A 27,998-nucleotide genomic window follows, 5' to 3' on the forward strand; every position below is an offset into this window, starting at 1 on the left:
CGAGAACAGCATGAGGGAAACTGCCCCCATGATTCCTTTACCTCCACTTGGTCCTGTCCTTGACATGTGGGGATTATGGAACTACAACTGAAGATGAGATTTGGGTGGGGACACAGAGCCAAACCATATCATAAGCGTTGTCAGCTTAGAAACCTAGAGCAGTAACTCCCTAAACTCTCCTAAAATCCTTCATATTGACAGTGGTTGGCCAGGCCCTGGTCATCCATTTCTGAAGGCAGGAGGTGATGATGCCGTGAGAGAGTTGGAGGGGCAGTTCCCCCAAGGACAATTGCAGTACTGTTACCAAAAAGGGGGAAAGAATGCAGGCCAGACAGGAATCCTTAAACTGGACATTCTTTGCTTTCCCCTCCAGATCTACTCTCCACCTGTCTCCTCCCTCCTCTCTGCCCCAAGAGTGATTTCTATGGCTAACATATGTCTGTTTGATATGGTTTGGCTGTGTCCCCACCCAAATCTCACCTTGAATTGCAATAATTCCTTCGTATGAAGGGCACGGCTAGGTGGAAATAATTGAATCATGGGGGTGGTTTCCCCTGTACTGTTCTCATGGTAGTGAACAAGTCTCACAAGATCTGATGGTTTTATAAATGGGAGTTCCCCTGCACAAGGTCTCTTGTCTGCCGCCATGTAAGACATCCCTTTGCTCTTCCTTTATCCTCTGCCATGATTGTGAGGCCTCCCCAGCCATGTGGAATTGGGAGTCCATTAAATCTTTTTTTTAAAATAAATTACCCAGTCTCAGGTATGTCTTTATTAGTAGCATGAGAACAGACTAATACACTATTATTTCCTTAGCTTTAAGGTATAATATACATACCTTACAGTCCATCCGTTACAAGTTTGCAATTCAACAATTTTAAGTAATTTTATAACGTGCTGCAACCATCACCACAGTCCAGTTTCAGAACACTTCTATCAACCCCCAAAATTCACTTCAGCCTGCTTGCAGTAGCTCCTGGCAATGTGCAGAATTTGCCTTTTCTGGACATTTCATAAACCTGGAATCACATACCATACAGTACTCTATATAGTGTGTGGCTTCTTTCACTCAACGTAATATTTTTGACGTTTGTCCCTACTGGAACATGTGTCAGTATTTCATTCCTTTTCATTGCTGCATTATATTCCATTGTATGGATGGACCACACTTTGTTTATCCATTCACCAGCTGATGGACATTTGGGTTGTTTGCAGTTTGGGGCTATTATGAGTAAAACTGTTATGAACATTTGTTTACAAGTCTTTGTGTGGACATGTGTTTTGAATTCTCTCAGCTTCCTAGGAGTGGAATTGCTCGATCATATGGTAAGTTTATGTTTCAACTCGTCCATTGCTGGTGAAAATGCAAAATGGTACAGTAGGTTTGGAAAATAGTTTTAAGAACCTGCCAAACTGTTTTCCAAACCTACGGAACCATTTTACATTTTCACCAACAATGGACAAGAGTTCTGATTCCTGCACATCCTTACCTATATTTAGTTATCATCTGATTTTCAAAAATTATAGCCACTTACTAGGTACATAATAATATCTCACTGTGGCTTTAATTTGCATTTCCCTAATGACTAATAACGGTGAGGTTTTTTTTTTTTTTTTTTTTTTTTTTTTTTTTTTTTTTTTTTTTTTTTCCTGGGACAGAACTTTGCTCTATCCCCAGGCTGGAGTACAATGGTGTGATCTCGGCACACTGCAACTTCCGCCTCCCAGGTTCAAGTGATTCTCCTGCCTCAGCCTCCTGCGTAGCTGGGATTACAGGTGCCCACCCCCCTGCCTGGCTAATTTTTGTATTTTTTTGTAGAGATGGAGTTTTGCCATGTTGGGCAGGCTGGTGCTTTTTAGTCATTTGTATAGATTGGATATCATATACACACACGAAAAAGTTAGGCCCTTAACTCACACCAAAAATAAAAATTATCTCAAAGTGAATCACAGACCTAAATGTAAGAGCTACAGTTATAAAACTTCTAGGAGAAACTTTAGTGAAATGTTTGTTCAAGTCTTTTGCTTATTTTTTATTTGGGTTGTTTGTCTTATTATCAGTTGCAAGAGTTCTTTATATATTCTGGGTACAAGTTCTTCATCAGATACATGACTGGTACATATTTTCTCCCAGTCTGTAGCTTGTTCTTTCATTTTCTTCAAGGTGTCTTTTAAAGCTTTTAATTTGAAATTAAAATGACATCCACTTTATAATTGGCTCATACTTTTGGTGTAATGTCTAAGAACTCTTTGCTTAACCCAAAGCCATGAAGATTTTCTCTTGTTGGTTTCTCCTAGAAATTTTTTAATTGTAGCTCTTACATTTAGGTCTGTGATACATTTTGAGATAATTTTTATTTTTGGTGTGAGTTAAGGGCCTAACATTCTTTTGTGTGTGTGTGTTTAGTATATGATATCCAACTGTTACAATGCCATGTTTGAAAAGAGTATCCCACCCCATTCCATTGTCTTGACATCATTATCAATTGTTTTGACATCATTGTCAAAAATCCGTTGGCCATATACATAAGCGCTTATTTCTTGGCTTTCACTTCTGTACCATTATCAATATATGCCTATCCTTACTCCAATGCCACACGGTCTTGATTACTGTAGCTTTAGAGTAAGCTTTGAAATTGGGTAGGATAAGTCCTCCAGCTTTGTTTTTCTTTCCCCAAATTGTTTCAGCAATTGTATGTCTTTTGCATTTCTGCATTCATTTTAGAACCAGCTTGTCACTTTCTTCAAAAAATCCTGCTGGGACTTTAACAGGGATTACATTGCATCTATAGATCAATTTGATCTATGGATTGACATCTTAATAATATTTAATCTTCCAATCCATTAACATGGAATATCTCTCCATTTATATTTTCTCTCATTTCTCTAAGCAATCCTTTATAATGCTCAGTGTACCAATTTTTCATTTTTCTTGTTAAATTTATTCCAAACTGTTTATTTTTGATGCTATTGTGAATGAACTTTAAAAAATTCATTCTCAAATTGTTCATGACTAGTATAGAAAATTCCATTAATTTCTATATATTGATCTTGTATCCTGCAAAGTTGCTAAATTTACTAGTTGTAGGAGGATTTTTTTTTTTGGTGGATTCCTTAAGATTTTCTACATATAGGATGATGCCATCTGTGACTAAAAAAGTTTTACTTCTTTCTTTCCAATCTGGATGTCTTTATTTTATATATTTTTAGCTTTATTTTACTGGCTCGAATCTTCAGTAAATTCCCGAATGGAAGTGGTGAGAATGAATGTCTTTGCTTCATTTCCAAGCTTTGGGAAAAGCATTCAGTCTTTCACCATTAAGTATAACGTTAGCTGTGGGTTTTCTGTGGTGCACTTCATCAAGTTGAGGAAGTTCCCTCTTATTCCTAGTTTGTGGATGGTTTTTGTCATGAATGGGTGTTGGATTTTGTCGATTGCTTTTTTTGTGTCTACTAATTCACTATCTGAACGTGCCATCTGTTTCCTGCCAGGACCCTAAAAAATAAAAAATGCTCGCTGCAAAGTGAAAATTTATGTGATGAAGGTGGATTCCCTAGTCCCTACTCAATGAATTATTGCACTGACTTGATGCCCATTCTCTCAGCTTTTTAGCTTCAAGAGATTTGGTTTTAAAATATATCCACTAGGCCGGGCACTGTGGCTAACGCCTGTAATCCTAGCACTTTGGGAGGCCGAGGTGGGTGGACTGCCTGAGCTCAAGAGTTCGAGACCAGCCTGGACAACACAGTGAAACCCTGTCTCTACTAAAATACAAAAAATTATCTGGGCCTGGCAGCGCATGCCTGTAATCCCAGCTACTCGGGTGGCTGACGCAGGAGAACCCCTTGAATCCGGGAGGCGGAAGTTGTAGTGAGCCGATATTGTGCCACTGCACTCCAGCCTGGGCGTCTCCAAAAAAAACATATCTATATATCTATATATATCTCCACTAGTAATTTGATACTCCTTCCTTCCAAAATGGAGCCTAATTCTCCTCCTTCTGAGTGTGAACTAGACTCAGTGAATTGCTTCTAGGGAACAGAATATGGCAGAAATGATGGCGTATGGTTTCTGAGACTAGGTGATAGGAGGCGTTGTGGTTTCTACCTCATGATTCACTCTGAGAGAAACCAGCCGCCATGTTGTGACATCACTCAAGGAGCTCCATGGGAAGTTCCACCAAGTGAAGCCTCTGTGACTGAGTCACTTTGGAAGAGAATCCTCAAGTCTTCTGACTGTAGCCCCAGCCAACATCTGACTGCAAACCCATGATACAAATCCAGCCAGAACCACCCAGTTAAACTGCTCCTGAATTCCTGACCCCCGGGAACCACAAGGTAATAAACGACTATTGTTCTAAGCCACTGTGTGTTGGAGTGATTTGTTATGCAGCGTTTGACAATACAAAAGACATTGCCACCTTCTCTCAGAATTTGTTAAGCTCTAAAAATGACAAAGATGGGTCTGAAGGAACAAGGATTTCTGGACCTGGAGGCTCTTTCAGAAGTTAGATCCCATGAGGATGGGGCATTGCTCTAAGAAGAGGTTGGTGAGCATTGTATGTGAAAACACTTCGTAGGTGATAAATACGGCATAAACACATTATTGTTACTGGAAGGTTTGTTATAGCCTTCAAGCTTACACTCGATGTCATCTTAGCCGGCATCCTTCTTTCTATCCCAACACATCAGGTCTTTGATAATTTGTGTTCTTCTAAGAAAGGACCCCCAGGGTCCTGCCCTCCCAGGACCGACATGCTGACCAGGCACTTGATGTGGACATGTCAGACCACCCACATTCTACTTCCTTCAGTTGCTTTTTCTAGAATGCCAGCCAGGAGGGACGGGTACACTCTGAATTTTGATCTCATGTGGGTGGGTGATCTGCTTTCTAATTAAAGTTCCCTGCCCGGCCCCTTCTGCGGAACGTTTCACCCAGGAGAAAAGACCTGAAGCAATTGTGTCAAAGGGTAGGAAAGCATTTACACAGCAAGGGAGATCTTGCTTAGCAATTGGGGGAGAAAGAGAGAGAAAGATTTGCCTCCAGCTGCCATTCTGAACTGTACCGTTTGTACAAAGTGGAACGTAAGTTTCTGTTTTCTGAAAAGGGGACAAGTTGCTATTGATAAAGCAGGAGGTCACATCCATCTCCATTTGCATACAAATTACTTTCTCATCTACTTTCCAAGGGGGAGAAAGAGCTGCTTTATCGTTCTCAGAGGGAGCAAACTCTCCACGGGTTGCCTTGTATATTTGTCAGAACTTTTTGGATGCAAGTGACAGACACTCAACCCAACCCTGAGTAGCTTATGCAAAACTGGTAACTTTTTTTTTTTTTTTTTTTTTTTTGAGAGTTTCGCTCTTGTTGCCCAGGCTGGAGTGCAGTGGAGCCATCTCAATTCACTGCAACCTCCGCCTCCTGGGTTCAAGCGATTCTCCTGTCTCAGTTTCCAGAGTAGCTGGTACTACAGGCGTGTACCACCATGCCCAGCTAATTTTTGTATTTTTAGTACAGACGGGGTTTCACCATGTTGGCCAAGATGTTCTCGATCTCCTGACCTTGTGATCCACCCACCTCAGCCTCCCAAAGTGCTGGGATTACAGGCGTGAGCCACTGCACCCGGACACTAAACTGGTCATTTTTGATCTATCTCATCAAATCACAAAAGTAGAAAAGTCTTTCACTTAATAGGGGATGCAAATGCCATCTTCCATCTTATCTCCTCTTTTATCTAATCAACTGCCTTTATTCTCTCCCCAGAAGCTAAACCCATGGCCACATGGATATCTCCAAACTTGAACTCGAGCCTGCTGTATCCGGCTCTGTACGTGCTATGGCTATTTGGATATCTGGTAGGGCTGTCAAGCTGAGTGTGTTGAAGCTGTTTAGGATCTTGCTCTTGTAACCTGCTCCCCCTCCTCCAGTGTTTTCCTGTCAGAGTAGATGGCTCCACTTGCCACCTCCTTGGGCAGCTGCATAAGCCAGAAACCTGAGCATCACCTCTGACCCCTCCCTCCCTCATCCCCACACAGCCAATGAGTAAATACGACTGGGGTCCAGGTGCCTCTTTCTTACCACAATTTTTATATTTTATCTTAATTTTTATTTTTTTGAGACAGGGTCTCACTCTGTTGCCCAGGCTGGAGTGCAGTGCTGTGATCCCAGCTCACTGCAACCTCCGCCTCTCAGGCTCAAGCAATTCTCATGCCTCAGCCTACCAAGTAGCTGAGATTACTGGAGCACACCACCACACCCCTGCTAATTTCTGTATTTTTCGTAGAGACAGGGTCTCACCATGTTGGCCAGGCTGGTCTTGAACTCCTGACCTCAAGTGATCCACCCATCTGAGCCTCCCAAAGTGCTGGGATTATATGAGCCAACGCGCCCAGCCCAGGTGGCTATTTCTAGTCCCCCTGCCACTCCCTAGTCCAGGCCATCATCCCTGCAGTGTGGACTAGGGTAACCATGTTCCAACGAGTTCCTTTCCCATCTATTCCTGCCTCCCTCTGATTTGTTCTCCATAGGATTGCCATAAATGTCCAGAAAAATGCAAATTAGATCCTGGCAAGCCCCTACTGCATGCTCTCCTCTCACCATTAGGATAAAACTCCAACTCCTCACCATGACGTGATCCCAGCCCTGCCTGTCTTACGCCAGTGGCCACTTTCCTCTCTGCCGTCCGCACAGCAGCAGCTCTGCTCCTGTCCACTCCATGACCTCGAAGCATACGGTTTCCCCTGCCCAAATGTTCTTTCCTCCTGCTTTACCTGCCTAGCTCCCCTTCACACTTCAGAGCTAGAATCCCCTAGGAAACTTAGGTGAGAGGATGGCTTGAAACCAGGAGTTCATCAGCCTGGGCAACACAGTGAGAGCCCTGTCCCTACAAAAACAAACAAACAAACAAACAAACAAACAAAACAACAAATTCACTGGGTGTGGTGACACAGGCCTGTGGTCCCAGCTACTCTGGAGGCTGAGGCAGGAGGATCCCTTGAGCCTGAGAGTTGGAGGCTGCTTTGAGTTGTGATAGCGCCACTGCATTCCAGCCTAGGTGACAGAGCAAGACCCCATCTCTTTAAAAAAAAAAAAAAAAAAATTTCAGTGTTGGCCAGGCTTGGTGGCTCATGCCTGTAATCTCAGCACTTTGGGAGGCTGAGGTGGGCAGACCATTTGAGCCCAGGAGTTTGAGACCAGCCTAGACAACATGGCAAAACCTCATCTCTACAAAATATACAGAAATTAGCCAGGTGTGGTGGAACATGCCTGTAGTCCCAGCTACTTGGGAGGCTGATGTGGGATAATGACTTGAGTCCAGGAGGTGGAGGTTACAGTGAGCCAATATTGCACCATACACTCCAGCCTGGGTGACAGAGCCAGACCTTGTCTCAAATCTACAGATAGGCAATAAATTTAAAATTATTACATGAACTTGTTGACATTCCTCTCTCCAAAATGGAGCCCAATTCGCCTCCCATTAAATGGGGATGGACTTAGTAACTTCTAATAGAGTACTTCTAATAAATAGAAGTGGCAAGGTGTGACTTCTGAAGCTAAATTATAAAAGGCATTGTGTGAATTCCTCTTTGTGTTCTCTCTTGGATCACCGGCTCTGGGAAGAGCCGGCCGCCATGTTGTGAGAACACTCAAGCAGCCCTCTGAGGAAGCCCCCATGGTGAGGAGCTGTGGCCTCCTACCAACAGCCATGCGAGTGAGTTTGGAAGTGGATCCTCTAGTCTCAGTTGAGCCTTTGGATGATGCAGCCCTGGCCAGCATCTTGATTGTATCCTCATGAGAGTCCCCGAGCCAGAACCACTCAGCTAAATCACTTGCAAATTCCTGGCCCAAAGAAACTGACATAATAAACGTGTATTTTTTTAAGCCATTAAGTTTTCTAGCAATTTGTTATACAGAATTAGACAATATAGCAACTTCTTAGATCATTCTTACAGCCTTTATGACATTTATATTCAAATAATTAACTGTGGAATGCATGGTTTGGAAATGTCTGTTGCAGTCCCTGCTGTACCCTCAGGGTCCTGACCTGGTAAATGCTTATAGAACTGAACTTCATGCTGGGAGACAGTGGTATGCCAGGCAAAACAGACACCTGAAGCCCATTGTTTCTAATATGCCTCTCCTCTATAGACAAAATCATTTTCTATCACCATGATGCAACAGATACTGTTTGAATGCAGTAAAATCTCTCTCGTATACACTAACATTTGCACATATGGAACAAAACATGACACTTCTCTGTTCTTTTGTTTTGCTGTTTTAATTGTAAAATAAAAACTCCAAGTGGTCACAAGGAAAGGCAGAATTAAAGTAATTCAAATTCTCTTTGTCTTCATAATGACTGTGCTATTGTTTATTTTGAATCTACTAAACACAGTTGATATGTAATATGCAATGCCACAGGGGATGGGGACCTGAACTCCACACCAACTGAGCCCTAGTGATTCAGAATCTTGGCAGACTTCCTCTTCACATGAACACGTGCTTCTGGGTCCCTGAGTGTTGGGGTCGATTACACAACAGGGACGTCTCCAAATTAACCTCCGCATCGAAGACTATTTTAGAGGACAAGTCATTCAATGTGCTAATCCATAGCGATATTATTAAAACTCAACAGTAACTGTGGCAATTGTCCAGAAATTAGACCAACAAAGAGATTGAGGGGGAGGCATATGTTATCCGTGGCACTGTGTAGAATCACATGTGGTGAGAATGAAAAGCAGATTGATTTTGAGTTGGTTTTGTTTTAAAATTCTCTACAGGCCACGCACTCCCGATCACACCCTCTCCGACCCCCAAGGTGGACGGGCTCCTACTCTTTGTATGCCACTTCTGGAAGAGCAGGGAAAGATGGATCCATTTGTGAGCTATGAGCAAGACACCGTGCTGGGCACCTGCTTTTTTTTGAGATGGAGTCTCGCTCTGTCACCCAGGCCGGAGTGCAGTGGCGCGATCTTGGCTTACTGCAAGCTCCGCCTCCCGGGTTCACGCCATTCTCCTGCCTCAGCCTCCTGAACAGCTGGGACCACAGGCATCCAACACCATGCCTGGCTAATTTTTTATTTTTAGTAGAGACGGGGTGGGCACTTGCTTTTAATGGAACAGGGCTAGCATCCGCCATCTAGTGATTTCTGTGGCATGCTTGCAGACATACTCAAGGACAGTGGTCCAGGCAGCAGTTCCTCTGGGATAACACTGGGCCCCCCAGTGACAGCCCAGGGTGGGGTAGGTCCATCCCCCGATCCAGCTGTAGTTCTGCAGCTCCTGCTGCTCTGACGGAGCCTGGGTCCCGAACGGCAGAGCCCTCCCGGAGCAGAGCAGGGGTTGTTAAAGACACTTTGGATCTTGTGAGGTGACAGCTCCATTTCCCACGCACAGGCTTTAAAATGCATTTAAATATTTCAAATAGTCTCTCAATTTTTTAGAATTCATAAATCTGGAATACTAACAAGATCATAAAAAAGCCCACTCCCAACCAATAGGAAACAGAATCGATGTATTCGTATGTTTATCATTTATTTCCATTTCCCACCTGGATAGTCCCCGGAGATTTGATTTCTTGTTTCCTAGAGAATCTGAAGACAGAAAACAGAACTTGGTGTTAAATAATCTTTAACGTACACCTGTTCAAACTATCGGCAAGACACTAATCATTTGTCCTGATGCACAAACATCAATCCAGGGCACATGAAATTTTAACTATCAATAAATATTCCGACATCTGCACACATGCAGCATCTAATTCCAGCATCAAAATGCAGATAAGCACGAATAGATATTTGGATTTATAGCAAAACGAGTCTCATCTGGAAACCCCTCCCAGGAAGGTCTGGCAGGCTGGGTGTAAGGAATTTGGGACGATGCCTGCATTTCCTCTGCCCGTTTCTACCAAGTCGGTCCAGTAATCCTGTTTAATTAATAATAAACATTGCAGGATTTTTTCCCCCCATTTGAATTATGTTTGAAATGTGATGGCTGGATGCTTCTTATAAAAATGCTTTGAAAAATAAACCGTGTCAGAAATGAGTGATTTATCATCACTCAGAATGCTGGCAGGGGAAATCTCAGAAAAGGAGAGAATTGATGTTGCTTCCTGCCGGCATTTCTACTACAGAGCTGGTCCAATTTGCTTTCTTCCTGTGCCCATGCATGGGGCAGCTTTTGCATGAGGCACTCCCCTCACTTGTTTCGTGTCTTTTTTTTTTTTTTTTCCCTCTCTCCCAGGATCTGCCCAGGCCTTTGGAGGCCAGACCTCCCTGATGGCACAGTGGCAGGCATCTGGGTCCTTGGGGAACTCCCCACGATGCACACCAGGCACCAGCCAACGTCAAAGGTCAGGAGAAAGGAGCTCTTGAGGTCTGGATGACTTCAAATGAGCTGCATCCCACTGAAGCGTTCAGTCTGCCGAGCTTTCAGGCCAAGGTTCCTGATCAGATTCTGTTCAATCACAAGGTACAGCTCTGCCGTCCATAATCTGCTCTGTTAGGAATACAGCAATTATTGAGCACTTACTATGGATCACGCCTTTTTTTTTTTTTTTTTTTTTTTTTTTGAGAGGGAGTCTCGCTCTGTCACCCAGGCTGGAGTACAGTGGCACGATCTCCGCTCACTACAACCTCTGCCTCCTGGACTCAGGAAATTCTCCTGCCTCAGTCTCCTGAGTAGCTGGGATTACAGGCGCCCGCCACCACACCTGGACAATTTTTGCATTTTTAGTAGAGACAGGGTTTCACCATGTCGCCCAGGCTGGTCTCGAACTCCTCACTTCAAGTGATCCACCTGCCTCGGTCTCCCGAAGTGCTGGGATTTACAGGCCTGAGCCACTGCACCCAGCCCTGGATAATGCCCTGTTCTAAGACCTTTGTATGCACAATTGCACTTGATCTTCACCAAAGTTGGTATTCATTGCATCCCCATTTTGCAGATGACATAACCAAGATACACACACAACAAGCAAGAGGCCAAAGCCAGGAAAGTAACCCAAACAGTCCGATTCCAGAACCCAGACTCTTAATCACTTCACTGTGTTATTTATTATTATTAATAATAGAACTAGGTGTGGTGGCTCCTGCCTGTAATTGCGGCACTTTGAGAGGCCGACACAGGACGATCACTTGAGTTCAGGAGCTCGAGTCCAGCCTGGGCAATGTAGTGAAATCCCATTGCTACAAAAAATAAAAAACTTAACCAAGGATCGCAGGCCTGTGGTCCCAGCCTCAGGAGGCTGAGGTGGGAGGATCACCTGAGCCCAGGAGGTTGAGGCTGCAGTAAGTCATGATTGTGCCACTGCACTACAGCCTGGGCAACAGAGGAAGGGCCCGTCTCAAAAATAGTCTTTCTCAGCACTCTATACCAAGTGATATGCCGGGCCCTGCGTAGATACTATGTCTTTACTCTTATATGATTGAGATCATTGTCCTTGTTTGACTGTTGAGGAAACTGAGGTTACCAGAGTGAAGTGAATTGTCTAAAGAAAGTCTTGAACCAACACAAGGACCCAGGTCCTCCCAGATCCATAGCTCATTTTCAACGTACTTACTTAGTGTCAGTCTGCTCGACTGACATGACAGATGGGTGGTGGGGACTGCGGTCTTGGTGGGGAGATCTCTGGAGATCCACCCTTTGGAACAACATAGATGCTCCAGTTTCAGATTTCTCACGTCCAGTGTCTGTTCTGTTTTTTTGTTTTTGTTTTTTTTCCTTTGCTGAATTTAAGCAGCCCCAGCAGAGAAAGCCAACGAATGGCGATGTGAAAAAAGCCGTGTGGACCCGTTCCTCTCCATCACCCATCAGATGGTTTCCAATCAGGAAGCAAAGCTGGGCCAGAGTAAATGTTGGAGTATGTGGAGCAGAGGGAGTGCTCATGCCCTGCTGATGTGAATGCAGATTGATCCGGCCTTGGAGCAACTGGGCAGTACCCAGTGAAGTTGAACCTGTGCGCCCCCATGACCCAGAAATTCCAAGGGTACATGTAGACCAGGAGACATGCATGGCAGACTCATGGTTTATAAATGGGAAACAGTGGGAGACAACACCATGTCCACCAATGGGGGAAGGTGGACCAGACGTGGTGCATCCATAAGATAGACTTCTACAGGCAATTGAAATGGAGAGACTAGATGTGCATTGATAACACAGGTAATTATAAAAAAATTCAATGTCGAGTGACACAAAACAAGTTCTAGGAACCTCAAAGCAGCCCAAACTTTATTATAATATTATAGATTGTTCATGGGTACACCTATAAGAGGGTAGAGGCACATCCCCGATTTGAGAGAGAGGGGAGAGGGACTGACCTTGCAGGTGGGGCTGAAAGGGACTTCACTTGATCTGTGATGTTTTGTTCAATACATATATTTTTTATTTTCTATTTATTTTATTTTGAGATGGAGTCTTGCTCTGTTGCCAGGCTACAGTGCAGTGATACAATCTCGGCTCACAGCAACCTCCACCTCCTGGGTTCAAGCGATTCTCCTGCCTCAGCCTCCCGAGTAGCTGGAACTACAGGCACATGCCACCACGCCCAGCTAATTTTTTATTTTTAGTAGAGATGGGGTTTCACCATGTTAGCCAGGATAGTCTTGATCTCTTGACCTCTTGATCCACCTGCCTTGGCCTCCCAAAGTGTTGGGATTACAGATGTGAGCCACCGTGTCTGGCCCACTTTATATTTTTATAAATATAAAAACATGAAATGCTGGGTGTGGTGGCTCCTGCCTGTAATCCCAGCACTTTAGGAGGCTGAGGCAGGAGGATCACTTGAGCCCTGGAGTTTAAGACCAGCCTAAGCAACAAAGAAGACCCTATCTCTACAAAAACACAAACAAAAAACCAAAACAAAAAACAACAACAAAAAAACAAACAACAAAAAAACAACCACCACCACCACCACCACCACCACAAACAAAACTTAGCCAGGCATGGTGGCATGCACCTGTGGTCCCAGCTACTTGGGAGGATTGCTTGAGCCCATGAGACTCATGTTGCAGTGAGCTGTGATCGCATCACTGCACTCCAGCCTGAGTGACAGAGCAAGACTCTATCTCAAAAACAAAAACAAAAACCCAAAGACAGAAAACGTTGGCATTTGTCAATTTTGGGTGGTGAGAACCTGGGAACATGTTCTGTTATTCTCTGCACTTTTCTGTGTTTTGAACATTTCTAAAAATAATAATAAAATAAAATAACCCATGTGAAACTACATACTGAATTTCTATGGTCCTCTTCTTCCGTGAATAGTGAATGTGTTTTGGAGTGGGTCGGGTGGCAGAAGGAGGCTGAAGCCAGCTCCTTAAACAAGTTAATTTCCTGCCAACACGCTTTCCTCAGCTGTAGCACAGAGGGAAAGCAGAGAGCTGGCTGTGTTTGCAGCTTCATCTGGGAGACCTTTTAAAAAAAATCTGGACATTGTAGGCAATATTGATTAACATATACATAGAGGCATGGGGTGGGGGGAGCAAATCAATCAATAAATGCATTTCTTCTGTTCCTGACCTTAGATAATGTGTGCTGATTAAGGGGCATGTCACTTGTTTTTAAAACCAGTGTTAAATATTAATTACAAATCATATGGCTTGACCCCAGGAGGGGCCACTGTCCCCCCTCCCTCGGGGCTCTCCCAGAGCTCTGAAAGCAGCCCACCCTCCTCTGCCTCCGAGAAACCAGGCAGATTTACATTAGGAATCACCATGATTATTGTTCTTTTTATGGTGGCTACTGTGGACAAGACAATTATGGAAACAGAATTCATTGTTCGAACAGGCTGAGCTCATGATATTACTGTGGATTTAAAAAAAATCATTTCTTGGCCAGGAATTAAAAATAGCTCATTCTCCCCCCCCCACCCCTCTCTTTCTCTTGCCAGATTTAGAATCTGAGGGAACCTTGATAGTTTCCCTCCTAGTTAATATTCCTGAGGCAACTTGCATTTGCAACACGGTTGAGAATCATTTTATTTTAAACACCAGTTCTTCCCACTATTCCTGTGAGGGAGTTCCAAGTTATTAGCTCAGTTTTAAATACAAGGAGATGGGAGTGGAGAGGCTTGGGGCCTCTCCCGGGGACCAGGTCAGAGAAGTCTGCATGCTCAAGGAGAGCGGAATCTCAGTCCCTTCTCATCAGCTGCCTTTTCATCTGTCCTCAATGTGTTCTCTGCCACTTTAGCATGTAAGATTTCAATGACCAGGCAGGCACGGTGGCTCACACCTGTAATCCCATCACGTTGGGAGGCCGAGGCAGGCAGATCACAAGGTCAGGAGTTCGAGACCAGCCTGACCAACATGGTGAAACACTGTCTCTACTAAATATATAAAAATTAGCCAGACATGGAATACACCTGTAATTTCAGCTACTCTGGAGGCTGAGGCAGGAGAATTGCTTGAACCTGGGAGGCAGAGATTGCAGTAAGCCGAGATCGCGCCACCGCACTTCAGCCTGGGTCACAGAGCGAGACTCCATCTCAAAAAAAAAAAAAAAAAAAAAAAAAAAAAAAAAAAAAAAAAAAGATTTCAATGACAATTTTTTTTTTTTAAAATGCACATGGAAACAGAACCCCCTGGAGTAGCCCCAGCCAGGAGCAGAACTCAGGAGTCCTGATGCCCTAAGGTTCTTGCTAATCTTCTCCTCTGCACTGGGTTAAATGCTGTCTTCTCCCAAATTCACATCTACTTGGAACCTCAGAGTAAGATCTTGTTTGGACAAAAGGTTTAATTGCAGGTGCAATGAGATAAGACAAGGTCATGCTGCTCACAGCCTCACATTCCAGGGCCACCTCTTGCCTGACAATTCCTACCCCTCTCTTGGTTTGATTTCTTCAAAAGCTGTTTCCTAAACCTCTGCTTCTCAAACATTAACGAGCACACGGGTCACCTGTGCATCTTGTTCCTCAGCATTTTTTTTTTTTTTGAGATGGAATCTTACTCTGGCACCAAGGCTGGAGTGCAGTAGTGCCATCTTGGCTCACTGCAAACTCTGCCTCCCAGGTTCAAGTGATTGTCCTGTTTCAGCCTCCTAAGTAGCTAGAACTACAAGTGTGTGCCACCACACCTGGCTACTTTTTGTATTTTTTAGTAGAGATGGGGTTTCACCATGTTAGCCAGGCTGGTCTCGAACCGCTGACCTCAAGTGATCTGCCCACCCGGGCCTCCCAAAGTGCTGGGATTACAAATGTGAGCCACCGCACCCGGCACCCTTAGCAGTTTCTGATACTACAGGTCTGGGTGGCCTTATTCTGCACCTCTCACAAGCTCCCAGTGACGCCAGGCAGCTGGTCTGGGGACACTTTGAGTAGCCTGGGTCTCACCATCACCTGTGACTCTAGCCCTGGCCCATCAGTGACTTTCTGGCCTCTGGGCTCACCTCCATCTAATCGACAGGTTGCTAACACCACCTGATGTCCTCAGAGCAAAGTACCTATTGACGGCCGGTGATGCAGTAGGCAAGCACTTCAGGCTTGGGGAGTTTAAGCTCTTTTATTGCCATGGCTTTTATGTGCTCTCTGCATTTGAGAGCTTTGCAACTTCATTAGTGTACAGAGTACTGCTGAAAGAATTCCTTGGTCGCCCCTCAGACCTTTTGATAAACAAACATTGTAAATGTAATAATCAGGTCACCACCATTAAAAATTATTATAATTAAAGATGATACAAGCTGCCCGAACCCTTGATGAACCCACTGCCTTTGTTTGGAGCTGTTGTTAAATGAATACATAGGTATTTTTCTTGCAAAGCAATGTTCTTCCTGCTTAGCTGGTTTGAGACGGAGTCTTGCTCTGTCCCCAGAATGGAGTGCAGTGGCGCTATCTCAGCTCACTGCAACCTCCACCTCCCGGGTTCCAGCGATTCTCCTGCCTCAGCCTCCTGAGTAGCTGGGACTACAGGTGTGTGACCACACCCAGCTGATTTTTTGTATTTGAGAGAGATGGGGTTTTGCCATGTTGGCCAAGATGGTCCCCATCTCCTGACCTCGTGATCCACCCGTCTCGGTTTGTAGCTGATCTTCCTATTTGCTTTCTTCCTAGAAGATCTTTCTACAAGTCTGTTCTATTCTGCTGATGTCATTTGTTTTGCATGTAACATTGCTAGGAGTCCAGGGGAAATCTTTATGCTCAAGGGCTGGGGGACGACGTTAGAAGCTATGATACAACTCCGAAATTATAACAGGAAATAATTATTACAAGAGAAGAAATATCACACTTGTCTACACTAATGCACTTGACTATCAAACAAAGAGATCTTTAAGATGATGAAGCACGCACCACGCAGGAGAAAAGTGAGGAAAACGCGGCTACAATTTGTTCTGAGTCATATCTCTTATAGAAGGGATTGCATTCTGCTTTGTCATCATTTACTAAGAAAGTTGTTTGCAAATGAGAGGAAGGATTCAGGCTATGGAAACCGGCTCGAGGTCAGGCGGCGTGGAGTTGCCAGGGCTGCGGTTCTAAGACAAGTGTCTCACCCAGTTCGCACCCATCGCGAAACAGATTCAAGGCACAATTCAGACAGAAGGTGAAAAGGAGATCCTCACTCTGGCATGGGCTGAATATTTAATACCTCCAAAGTCAAAAATAAGAACGGCTATAAGAAGACAGACAATTATAGCCCTAGCAGAGAAATTTCACTGGGCCCTAATACACCCCGTGGGATAGTTTGCATTGTATTTTAGAGCTGGGAAAACAAGCTAAGAAAGGATATCTTCATGAGGTTGCTCAACTCATAGGGGCAGACTTTTTTTTTTTATTTTTATTTTTTGGAGACAGGGTCCTGCTCTGTCGCCCAGGCTGGAATGCAGTGGCACGATCTCGGCTCACTACAACCTCTGCCTCCTGGGCTCAAACAATTCTCCTGCCTCAGCCTCCAAAGTAGCTGAGACTACAGGTGCACGTGACCACACCTGGCTAATTTTTGCTTTTTTTTTTTTTTTTTTTTTGGTAGAGACTGGGTTTGGCCATCTTGCCCAGGCTGGTCTCAAACTCCTGGGCTTAAGTGATCCTCCCACCTGGCCTCCCAAAGTGCTGGGATTACAGGTGTGAGCCACTGCACCCAGTCTCGAGCTTTATCTCTCACATGTGCCTCTATTCAGGATTCCACCCTAGTTTTGAAGAAATAGATTCACATTCTGAGTAGTAAAGTTAAAAACAAGGATCTCAATAAATTTTATGTCACCTACAATTATTGCCAGGTTTTCCTTAATGTCATGTGTAGGCTGCCCAATACTCGATGCTCAAAACAGATTTTAGGGAGCAGAAAAAAGACAGGGAGACAGAAATGGAGACACAGAGGAAGGGAGTTGTTTGATGAGGTTGGCCTATGTTGGTGAGAATACAGCACAGGTGCTTTCAAGCTTCCCCTTCACTAAATTCAGGATGCTTTTCTTTGTTTTTTGAGATGGAGTTTTGCTCTTGTCGACCAGGCTGGAGTGCAGTGGCGTGATCTCGGCTCACTGCAACCTCCACCTCCCAGGTTCAAGCAATTCTTCTACCTCAGCCTCCCGAGTACCTGGGGATTACAGGTGCCCGCCACCACATCCAGCTAATTTTTGTATTTTTAATAGAAACGTGGTTTCACTGTGTTGGCCAGGCTGGTCTCGAACTCCTGACCTCAGGTAATCTGCCCACCTCGGCCTCCCAAAGTGCTGAGATTACAGGTGTGAGCCACCATGCCCGGCTTTTTTTTTTTTTTGAAATGGAGTCTCTCTTTGTTGCCCAGACTGGAGTGCAGTGGCACAACCTTGGCTCACTGCAACCTCTGCCACCCGGGTTCAAGTGATTCTCCTTCCTCAGCCTCCCAAGTGGCTGGGATTACAGTTCCCTGCCACCATGCCCAGCTGATTTTTGTATTATTACTAGAGACAAGGTTTCACTATGTCGGCCAGGCTGGTCTTGAACTCCTGATCTCAGGTGATCCACCCACCTTGACCTCCCAAAGTGCTGGGATTCCAGGCGTGAGCCACTGCACCCGGCCTTTTTGTTATTTGTTTTGAGACAGGGTCTCACTGTCACACAGGCTGGAGTGCAGTGGCTCAATCATAGCTCACTGCAGCCTTAACCTCCTGGGCTCAAGCAATCCTCCTGCCTCACCCTCCTGAGTAGCTGGAACTACAGGCATGCACCACCATGCCCAGCTAATTTTTTGTTGTTGTTATTTTGTAGAGATGTAGACGTCTTGCTATGTTTCCTAGTGTATTAGTCTGTTCTTGCAGTGCTGTAAAGAACTACCTGAAATCAGGTAATTTATAAATAAAAGAGGTTTAATTGACTCACCGTTCCACAGACTATACAGGAAGCATGGCTAGGGAAGGCCTCAGGAAACTCACAATCACGGTGGAAGGCAACGGCGAAGCAGACACGTCTTACATGGACAGAGGAGAAGGAAGAGAAAGAACGGGGAGATGCTACATACTTTTAATCAACCAGATCTCGTGAGAACTCACTCAATATCATGAGAACAGCAAGGGAGAATTCCTCCCCCATGATCCAATCACCTCCCATCAGGCCCCACCTGCAGCACTGGGGCTAACAATTCAACACGAGATTTGGCTGGGAACACAGATGCAAACCATATCACCCAGGCTGGTGTTGAACCCCTGGGCTCAAGCAATCCTCGTGCCTTGGCCTCCCAAAGTGTTGGAATTACAGGCGTGAGCAGCTGCACCGGGCCAGGATGGCTTCTTCTCACAAGGAGTGTCTACTCCCAAACCCAGTGCTGACCTTGTGGCCCTGCTCCATGAAATGCTCCAACACCCACCCACCTTCCAAGCCAGCACCAGGGGAGCTGCCTGGCCCATTGCTCTCCCAACACACATTTCGGCCACCAAGCCCTGGCTCCAAACTTGTCCCTTCACTTTATCCCAGATGCAACACCTGCAAATGGCAGCCGTCCATTGATCCCGACAACAAAAACAGTGAGGCATTGACTTCTCCCAATCTGCCCCCAGCCACAGACCAGATTCAGCTGAAACTGGCATCAGCTGGGTGGGATCCTCTTGAGTGGCTCCTTTTGCCTAACGGGCAGGTTCCAGACAGCCTAGCACGTTTCATCAGGGTTGCCACGACCAGGCCCTGTGGATATCAGCAGGCTTTCCTATTCTCACTGGCCAGTCTCTGGACCGGCCCTGGTCTCCCAGCCACAGCACTTCCTCCTGCATCACCTTTGTGGGTGCCCTTAACAGACGTCTGCACCTTTCCCACCATGTACTTGCAACCTCCCTCCTCTGAGAAGCCCTCCGGTCTCTCTCTGGCTTGCAGCAGGGGGGCTGTGGCTCCTCTAGGCCCCCAGAGCTCCTGCAGCTGCCCCTCCCCTGTTGCAGTCCGCACCTCACCACGCTCCACTTCCTCCTTTCCAAACCTGTTGTTCCCACGGCCCTGTGAGTGCCAGGAAAGATGACACACATCTCCTGTCTCTCTCCCCAGCCAAGACTCTGCCCCACAAACAGGCCTGATGTTTTCACACACCTGGGAGTTACTTTAATCTGCGATGCTGAGACATGCAGACATGGGCATCCCTGCCAGGAAAAAAGGAGTTTACACTCACTGACCCCTGAAAACCGGAGGCAGCCCCCGCAGGGCTGCAGGCGGAAGCACCTGGGTGGGTCATGAGTTAGAGAGATAGGGGACTAGTGCGGCTGTCCCCTTATTCAGACAGCTCTCCAATCAGGAAACCACTGTTATTAAAAGTCCCCTTGCTTATTTCATTTTGCTAAGCCTTACTTGCATGCATCGTGTATCTTTCACATAACATTTCCCCATTTGCTTATGTCACAGGGTTCGCTAACTACAGGCGAGAAAGAAAACATTCCCAATGAGTGCAGACACACGTGCCCTCTATTGTGTTCATTCCGGGTTAAATAATTAGGTTATTGGGAGTCTCTGTTTTTGTCTTTGGTTTTTTTTTAGAGACAGGGTCTCACTCTGTCACCCAGGCTGCAGTGCAGTGGCACAATCACAGCTCACTGCAGCCTCGACCTCCCTGATCTCAAGCAATTCTCCCACCTCAGCCTCCCAAGTAGCTGGGACTACAGGTGTGCACCACCACACTCAGCTAATTATTATTATTATTATTATTTGTAGAGACAGAGTTTCTCCATGTTGCCCAGTCTTCTGGTCTCAAACTCCTGAGCTCAAGCAATTTGCCGGCCTCGGTATTGGTGTTTTAAATGCTCAATGTTACGCAAAAATGCTTGGTGGATTCCCACCCCCCACCCCAATACAATGAAACATGGTATCTCATTCAAAAGCGTTGCCCTACTTGTGACTCCTTTCAAGGAGTGGGTTAGGTTGATTTTTCACTCAGCAATCAGCAATAGAGTTTCAATTCATTATTTTAAACTGCTACATAGTATTCTATAATATGGATATACCTAAATGCATCCAGCTACTCTATAGATGAAAATTTACTTTGTTTCTATTTTCCCCCACTCCAGACAATACTATACCATCCTTGGGTTGTTGTTTTTTCCTCCAGTATAAACCACGCAGTAAAAATCATTCATTTTCCGGCCAGGCTTGGTGGCTTACACCTATAATCCCAGCACTTTCGGAGGCTGAGGTGGGAGGATCACCTGAGGTCAGGAGTTCAAGACCAGCCTCACTAACATTAAAAATACTCTATTAAAAATACAAAAATTAGCCAGGTGTAGTGGCTCCTGCCTATAATCTCAGCTACTTGGAAGGTTGAGGTAGGAGAATCTCTTGAATCTAGGAGGCAGAGGTTGCAGTGAGCTGAGATCTTGCCACTGCACTCCAGCCTGGGTGACAGAGCAAGACTCTGTCTCACACAAAAAAAAAAAAAAAAAAAAAAAAAAAAAAAAAATCATTCGTTTTCCTTGTCCCAAACAGTGCTGCAATAAACATCCTCCTCTATGTTTTTCATGTGTCGTTGGTTTTACTAGTGTAGGACAGATTCCCAAAAGTGAGGTTTCTTGCTAAAGAGCATGCATTTTAAATTTTAATAGACATTGTATGGTTAATTTGTGTAAAGTTGAAAGCAATTCACACTCATGAACAAGGAATTTGAGTACCCAGCTTCGTGTATTGTTGAGGCATTGGAAGTTACTGTTCATTTTCTAGACTAAGAGATGAAAAATAGTATCCCATAATTAATTTTATTTGCACCTTGAATGTGAGGTTGAGCAACTGTTTCTAAGCCCGATAGGCAATTTTGATGCCCCCTTCTGTGAACTGTCTGTTTATATCTTCTTGAACTATTTTTCTCTAAAGTCTCGGTTTTCTCATCCATAAAATGGGGAAATGAGAGTACGTATCTCGCGGGAGTCATGAAGATTTAATGAATCAGTGGCCATAAGGAGCTTTGCGAAGCAGCTTGCAACAGAGAAAACATTATCATTTTCATTACACGCTGGGTGCCAGACACATGGTGGCTATCAAATCTTTTATCTTTTTTCTCCTTCCCTCCTTCCTTTTTATTATCATTATTATTATTATTATTATTATTATTATTATTATTATTATTTTGGTGTTCTCCATACAGAGGGTTGGGCTTGGGAAAGAAAAAGGCCCACTTAAGAGAAAGACCACATGTTGGGCTGGCTGGAGGCAGGAGCCAGACAGGACCACACAGTGGCAGGGGAAATTGTCAGGAGCTAAGGCTGGGGAACTCAAAGGGGGAGTCACTTTGACATGAGTGGTTTTGGGGGTTGAGAAAAGGGGTCTGGGCTGGACATAGTGGCTCATGCCTGTAATCCCAGCACTTTGGGAGGCCGAGGCAGGCAGGTAGCTTGAGCTTACCAGTTCAAGACCAGCCTGGCCAACATGGCGAAACCCCATCTCTACTAAAAAATAAAAAATACAAAAATTAGCTGGGTGTGGTGGCATGTGCCTGTAGTCCCAGCTACTCGGGAGGCTGAGGCAGGAGAATTGCTTGAATCCGGGAGGTGGAGGCTGCAGTGAGCCAAGATCGCGCCACTGCACTCTAGCCTGGGTGATAGAGCGAGACTCCATCGAAAGAAAGAAGGATAAGAAAGAGAGAGAGAGAGAGAGAGAGGGAGGAAGGAAGGAAAGAGGGAAAGAGGGAAGGGAGGGAAGGAAGGAAAGTGGGTCTGATCTTGAGTCGTAACCATGGGAATAGTGAGGATGGACCACCTCCCATGTTCCCAGCACTTTGCCTGGACAACATGCCAGTGATATGGGACCGATCATTTCTCTCCATCTTATGGCTCAGAGGGGCTAAGCGATTTGCCCAAGGTTGCACAGCACGTGAACGGCAGGTCAGAAATGCGAACCCAGGATTGTCTGACCCCCAGCCCCTGCATGCTCCACTACCCCATCTTAAGAGATTGCCTGGCTTCTAAGCAGCCCTGCCCTTTGGTGGAGGAACCTCTGAACACCTGGGTCAGGCCGTGAAGCCCAACCATTGGCATTTCTAGATTCCTCTGCTAGAATTTTAGGAAGAAAGTTGGAAGCCCCCAGAGTCATTGTGCACCCTTCTGCATTTCTATATCAAGTAGGAGATGCATTTGTTACCACGCTAATTAGGGCAGAAATTAACTGAAATGCTGAGTTTTAGCAGAGAGCGAATCGGCTGCAGGTGTCAGTAATTAGCGAAAAATGAGTCATTTGATGTTTGTAGACACACAGCCTTCTCAACTTTGATTCAAAAATAAACTTCGTGGGCACATTGTTCTGAATCACTCCTGCTAATGCATGTGTCTATCTTAATGCTGTAATTCAGTATAAATATTTTAAATAAATCAGTAATGTTGCTTTTCAGTGGCAGTACACACATGAAATTTTCTGTACAAAAATGGAGTAAGAATAAAATATTTTTAGTAAGATCGGTAGAAACCTGAAAAACAGCCATACAGAAATTACTGTTTCCTTGCTCTTGGTTTTTTTCCTCTCTCTTTCTTTTGGTTTCTTGGAATATAAATAATTCACCTCCAATATCCTGTCCTGAGCAGGGACTAAGCAAGTAAAATAAACAGCATACTGGTGAATACCTGCAGGGTTTGGAAATGGAATTAAAAATCCCCCTTAAACTAGACATTCTCCTGTTAGTTCACTGCTTGGGAACAGCCTGAGTTCTGAGGTGGGTGGAGTAAAAAGGAAACTTACACAGAGGTAGATGTAGCTGTGTCTTCTAAAGCAAAATCTATTTCCTTATCAAACTAGTTAAGTTGGCCAATTATGAGATACGAGAGCATCTGTGTGTGGAGCAGGTGGGAACAGAAGCTTGGAAATTATTTTTCCTCATGAACAGCAGTTGTGTGCACATTTGTGTGTGTATGTGTGTGATGTGTATGTTTGTGTGTGTGCATTTTAAGGCTTAGGATCAGTGATTGCATTAACCATAGCCCAACAGGAGACGTCCCCACCATGAAAAATTGAATGCAAGTGTCTCATTGTCTCCTTTTTTTTTTTAGAGACAGGGTCTCACTCTGTTTCCCAGGCTGGAGTGCAGTGGTGCAATCAATCGTAGCTCTCTGCAGCATCAACTTCCTGGGCTCAAGTGATTCTCCCACCTCAGCCTCCCAAGTAGCTGGGACTATAGGGGCACACCACCATGCCCTGCTGACTTTTTACATTTTTTATAGAGATGAGGTCTTGCCTGTGTTGCCCAGGCTGGAGTGCAGTGGTGCGATCGTGGCTCATTGCAGCCTCAAACTCCTGGCCTCAAGTGATCCTCCTGCCTCAGCCTCCTAAAGGGCTGGGATTACAGATATGAGCCCCTGCATCCTGCCTGGTGTCTCACTCTTGAGCAAGAGAGGTGCTGGCCCCTCCCACCCCCTGGCTCGGTTCTAGAGCGTCCTGCTGCTCTGTCTCTGAAGCACGCATCTGCACACGAGCAAGTCTTGGGTTGACCAGGGTGGGGTGTAGGAGGAGACTCTCCTATGGCCTGTGACAAGGTGAGGGGACTCTGGCCCCAGCCAGCCTGACAGCTTTTGTGGTCAGAAGTTGGCTGGTCAGTGATGTAGGAAGAGTTGACTCAACAGATTCTCTTCCATACCATGGCATCCTTGAGGTTAACTAGTTGAATGGTTTGAAACAAAGTGAATGGGTTAAAGTTGGTGAATTCATGATTCGTAAAAAAAGAAGAAAAAAGCTCTCATTGGTCACCTTTGGAGGTCAGCAGGATATCCCCTCATTATTTTGAAAACTGGTCAGTAAAAGGGAAAAAATTTAAGCATTTATCGACCTTTCTTATGGCAACGATACATCAGCGTGACCAAGTGGTTGATAAGGGGAAGGTCCTTGTTATAGAAGTATTCTAGCTAATTAAGGAAGAGGAATGTAGACTTTGAATATCAGCATTTTACATCTCATAATGAACTAATGGATCTAAGCAATCACCATTACAAACCGTGAACAACCTCTAAAAAAGACACAAACCAAGCACTCTGTGCCCCCCAGTGGAAGGACAGGACACTACACCATGAAATATTCTTGTCAAATCCCCAAAACTGAATGTGATCAACCCTAGATCCAACTACTGATCTATAGAAAATGAAGAGGACAGAAGAACCTGTCAAATGACACCATGGAGATGTCATCATCAAAATCCAGACTGTGGCCTGTAATCCCAGCTCTTTGGGAAGCCGAGGTGGGTGGATCGCTTGAGGCCAGGAGTTGGAGACCAGCCTGGGCAACATGGCAAAATTCCGTCTGTACAAAAAATATAAAAATTATCCAGGTGTGTTGGCATATGCCTGCAGTCCCAACTATTCTGGAGGCTGAGGTGGGAGGATAACTTGAGCCCAGGAGGTTGAGGCTGCACTGAGCCGTGATTGTGCTACTGCACTCCAGCCTGGGGCACAGGGCAAGACCCTGTCTCAATAATAATAATAATAATAATAATAATAATAATAATAATAATTCAAGATTGTGCAAGCTGTGGCTAGCTCTATAGGACAAATAATCCAATTTTTTCATTAAGTGAATTGTAAGGAAAAGAGGGAAAGGGTAATAGGTTAAAGAAGGCAGAGACCCAACAGCCCATCGCAACATACGGATCTGATTTAGATCCCCAGGCAGATGTTAGAATAATACAAGAAAAAATATCTATGAGACAAATTAGGGAACTTTGAACACTGCACATTTGATTAAGGAATTATTGTGAATATCTTTAGCTGTGATACTGGTATCGTATTTATGTTTTTGAGAGATGCCTACTGAAATATTTACATGTTAAGTGATACTGGTATCGTATTTATGTTTTTGAGAGATGCCTACTGAAATATTTACATGTTAAGTGACAGAATGACTGAAATCTGCTTCAAAAGATTCCAGGGCTCATCTAAAGTGGGTAGAGGAACAGATGAAATGAGATTGGCCCTGAATTGAAAATTATTAGGGCTGCGCGTGGTGGCTCATGCTTGTAATCCCAGCAGTTTGGGAGGTCAAGACCAGAGGATCACCTGAGCCCAGGAGTTCCAGACCAGCCTGGGCAACACAGTGAGACCCTGCCTGTACTAAAAATAATTTAAAAAAAATTAACCAGGTGTGACGGCTCGTGCCTGTAGTCTCAGCTACTGGTGGGGCTGAGGCAAGAAGATCATTTGACTATGGAAGTCTAGGAGGTCGAGGCTGCAGTGAGCCCTGATCATACCACTGCACTCCAGCCAGGGGAAAAAGTGAGACCCTGTCTCAAAAATTAAAAAAATAAAGCACTACATTTCCTTTCTAGAAACACACACACAGGCAGATGTGTTCCATGAATCCCAATAACTGGGACAAGGAGAGGCGGGATGTCTGCAGTGTGGGATGATTCTGGGCCTCTGAATGACACTGAGCGGTCTGGGTGGAAATCCGCAGATTTTCCATCTTCCAGGGCAGAAGTCGGCATGCTTTCTGTAAAGGACTGGACCGTGAATATTTTAGGTCTTTTGGGCCATATCATCTCGGTCACAACTACTCATGCTGGTTGCACGACAGGGGCCAAAGACAATATATGAAGAAATGGGTGTGTCCCTGTTCCGACAAAACTTTATTTACAAAAACAGGCAGCAGACCGCATTTGCCCTGAGGTGGCAGTTTGACCAGCCCTGTCCTGTTGCTGGACAGAAGAACTTTCTGTGATGACGGAAATGTTATTTCTGTGCCATCCAGTATAGGAGCCATTAGTCACACGCAGTTACTGAGCACTTTGGATGGGGCTAGTCGGACTGAGGAACTAGTTTTTAATTTTTATTTAGCTTAAATTAGTTTAACTTTAAAAAGTCACATGGAGTTAGTTGCTACCACGTTAGACAGCACAGTTCTAGAGAGCCCAGCCCAGCAACTAAAAAGGAGGAGAGGCTGGGTGCGGTGGCTCACGCTTGTAATCTCAGCACTTTGAGAGGCTGAGGCAGCAGGATTGCTTGAGGACAGGAGTTTTAGACCAGCTTGGGCAACACAGCGAGACACCGACTCTATAAAAAAAATTTAAAAATTGGAGAAGTGTAGTGGTGTGAGCCTGTAGTCCCAGCTACTCAGGAAGCTGAGGTGGGAGGACTGATTGAGCCCAGGAGTTCCAGAGGAGCCTGGGCAACACAGTGAGACCCTGTCTCTACAAAAAGTACAAAAATTAGCCATGCGTGGTAGCATGCACCTGTAGTCCTAGCTACTCTGGAGGGTGAGATGGGAGGATCACTTGAGCCTGAGAGACGGAGGTTGCAGTGAGCCAAGTCTGTGCCACTGCCCAGTGAGCCTGGGCAACACAGTGACACCCTGTCTCAAAAAAAACAAAAAGAGGAAGAGGAGATGCAGCCCAGGGAGAAGAACTGATTTGTCTAAGACGTGGCTCCAACCTTTGGGTTCATGCTTCTCCCTGCGCCACGGTATGAAGTTGCCTGAACTCCAGAACCACTAAGCAATGAGGCAGGTGACCTGGGCTCTGATCCTCAGGCTGGGACCTGGGGAAAGCCATTCACCTTTAGTGTTCTGCTGTGTCTCCATGTGTACGAGGACCACACCCCAACCTCCTCGTCCATTCACCTGTGGGGGCCACCAGGGGGATCACAGGAGACAATGTAGGCAGAGGCCCTTTGAAAACTTCAAAGCGCCCCGGGAGTTTCCGGATGTTCTGCATTAATTTATCTAATCCAAGGTAGGAAAGTGAAACGTGGGCTATGAAAGACAGGAGGGAAGTCGGGTGATTCATCGCTCGGCTGGAACTCTCGCGGGTTAAATCTCTGTTTCAGTGAATTTCCTGGGGAGAATTCAGGGCCGTGTTCCAGCTAACAAATTCATCCCTTTGCTTTGACTCTGAACCATATTCTGGGACGGCATCAAAGCCAGCCTCCCAAGAGTCGCTTGGGGACTGTCTGGGCCCCGAGCTCTCCGACCCTCCTGCCTCCACTCTGCAGATGCTCCTGCTCCCATCTCCCCAGCACAGACCCCACCACAGCCTCCTGCCTGGCCCCATCTGCCATCCCTGCGGCTGAGCCCGACTGAGAGTGAAGTCCTTCATTAAATCAGTGCCTACCTCGTCCTGCGGATGGAGGTCATTCTCAGCCTCATTCCCCTTGCCAGAGAAGGATGTGGGGGGAGGCAGGCAGGGCAAAGGCAGGGAGACATCCTCTGGTCCAGAATTGATTCCTCTTCTGAAAGAAAGAAAAGCAAAGATGTCCCTAAAGGGGACATTAAAACTCTCAACAAGACCCTCAGGCTGGGAGTCTTCTTCCCAAGGCCAGGGTCAGGCCTGAGAGGTGTTCTCAAAGACCCGGAGTGAAATCCTCTTCCTAGACAAAGATGATTCCAAGGATGATTCCAAGTGGGAAGGGGAGAGAGGGGCCTTGCACGAGGCAAGTAACTAGGCCTGTGGGAGCAAGTTCGTACCGTCTACCCTCTGTCAAACTCTGTACTTGAAACGGTTCATGTTTTTTAAAAGGATGGGCGTTTTAAATCCCTCCATTCCGCTCTGCCCCGTGATGTAATTTAGAAATCACGAGAGCTCTCAAAAAAAAAAAAAAAAAAAAAAAAAACAAAAACCAGCGAGATGTGCTCACAGACCTTGGTCCGCAAATGTTTTTGCCAGATGCTGAGAACCTA

At 45.3% G+C, this 27,998-nt stretch overlaps 1 long non-coding RNA gene across 1 annotated transcript; it reads right to left on the reverse strand.

Annotated features, from left to right (window-relative positions):
- Positions 1–10,211: 10,211 nt before the first annotated feature.
- LOC100129603 (uncharacterized) lies at positions 10,212–27,868 on the reverse strand. The gene is made up of 4 exons (NR_126024.1): positions 27,786–27,868; positions 27,433–27,550; positions 18,276–18,363; positions 10,212–10,495 (listed from the first exon to the last, which is right to left on the reverse strand). It is a non-coding gene; the product is annotated as an uncharacterized LOC100129603 (long non-coding RNA).
- Positions 27,869–27,998: the final 130 nt, after the last annotated feature.

The sequence above is a fragment of the Homo sapiens genome, chromosome 7 (assembly GCF_000001405.40).
Source record: "Homo sapiens chromosome 7, GRCh38.p14 Primary Assembly".
Lineage (NCBI taxonomy): Eukaryota > Metazoa > Chordata > Mammalia > Primates > Hominidae > Homo > Homo sapiens.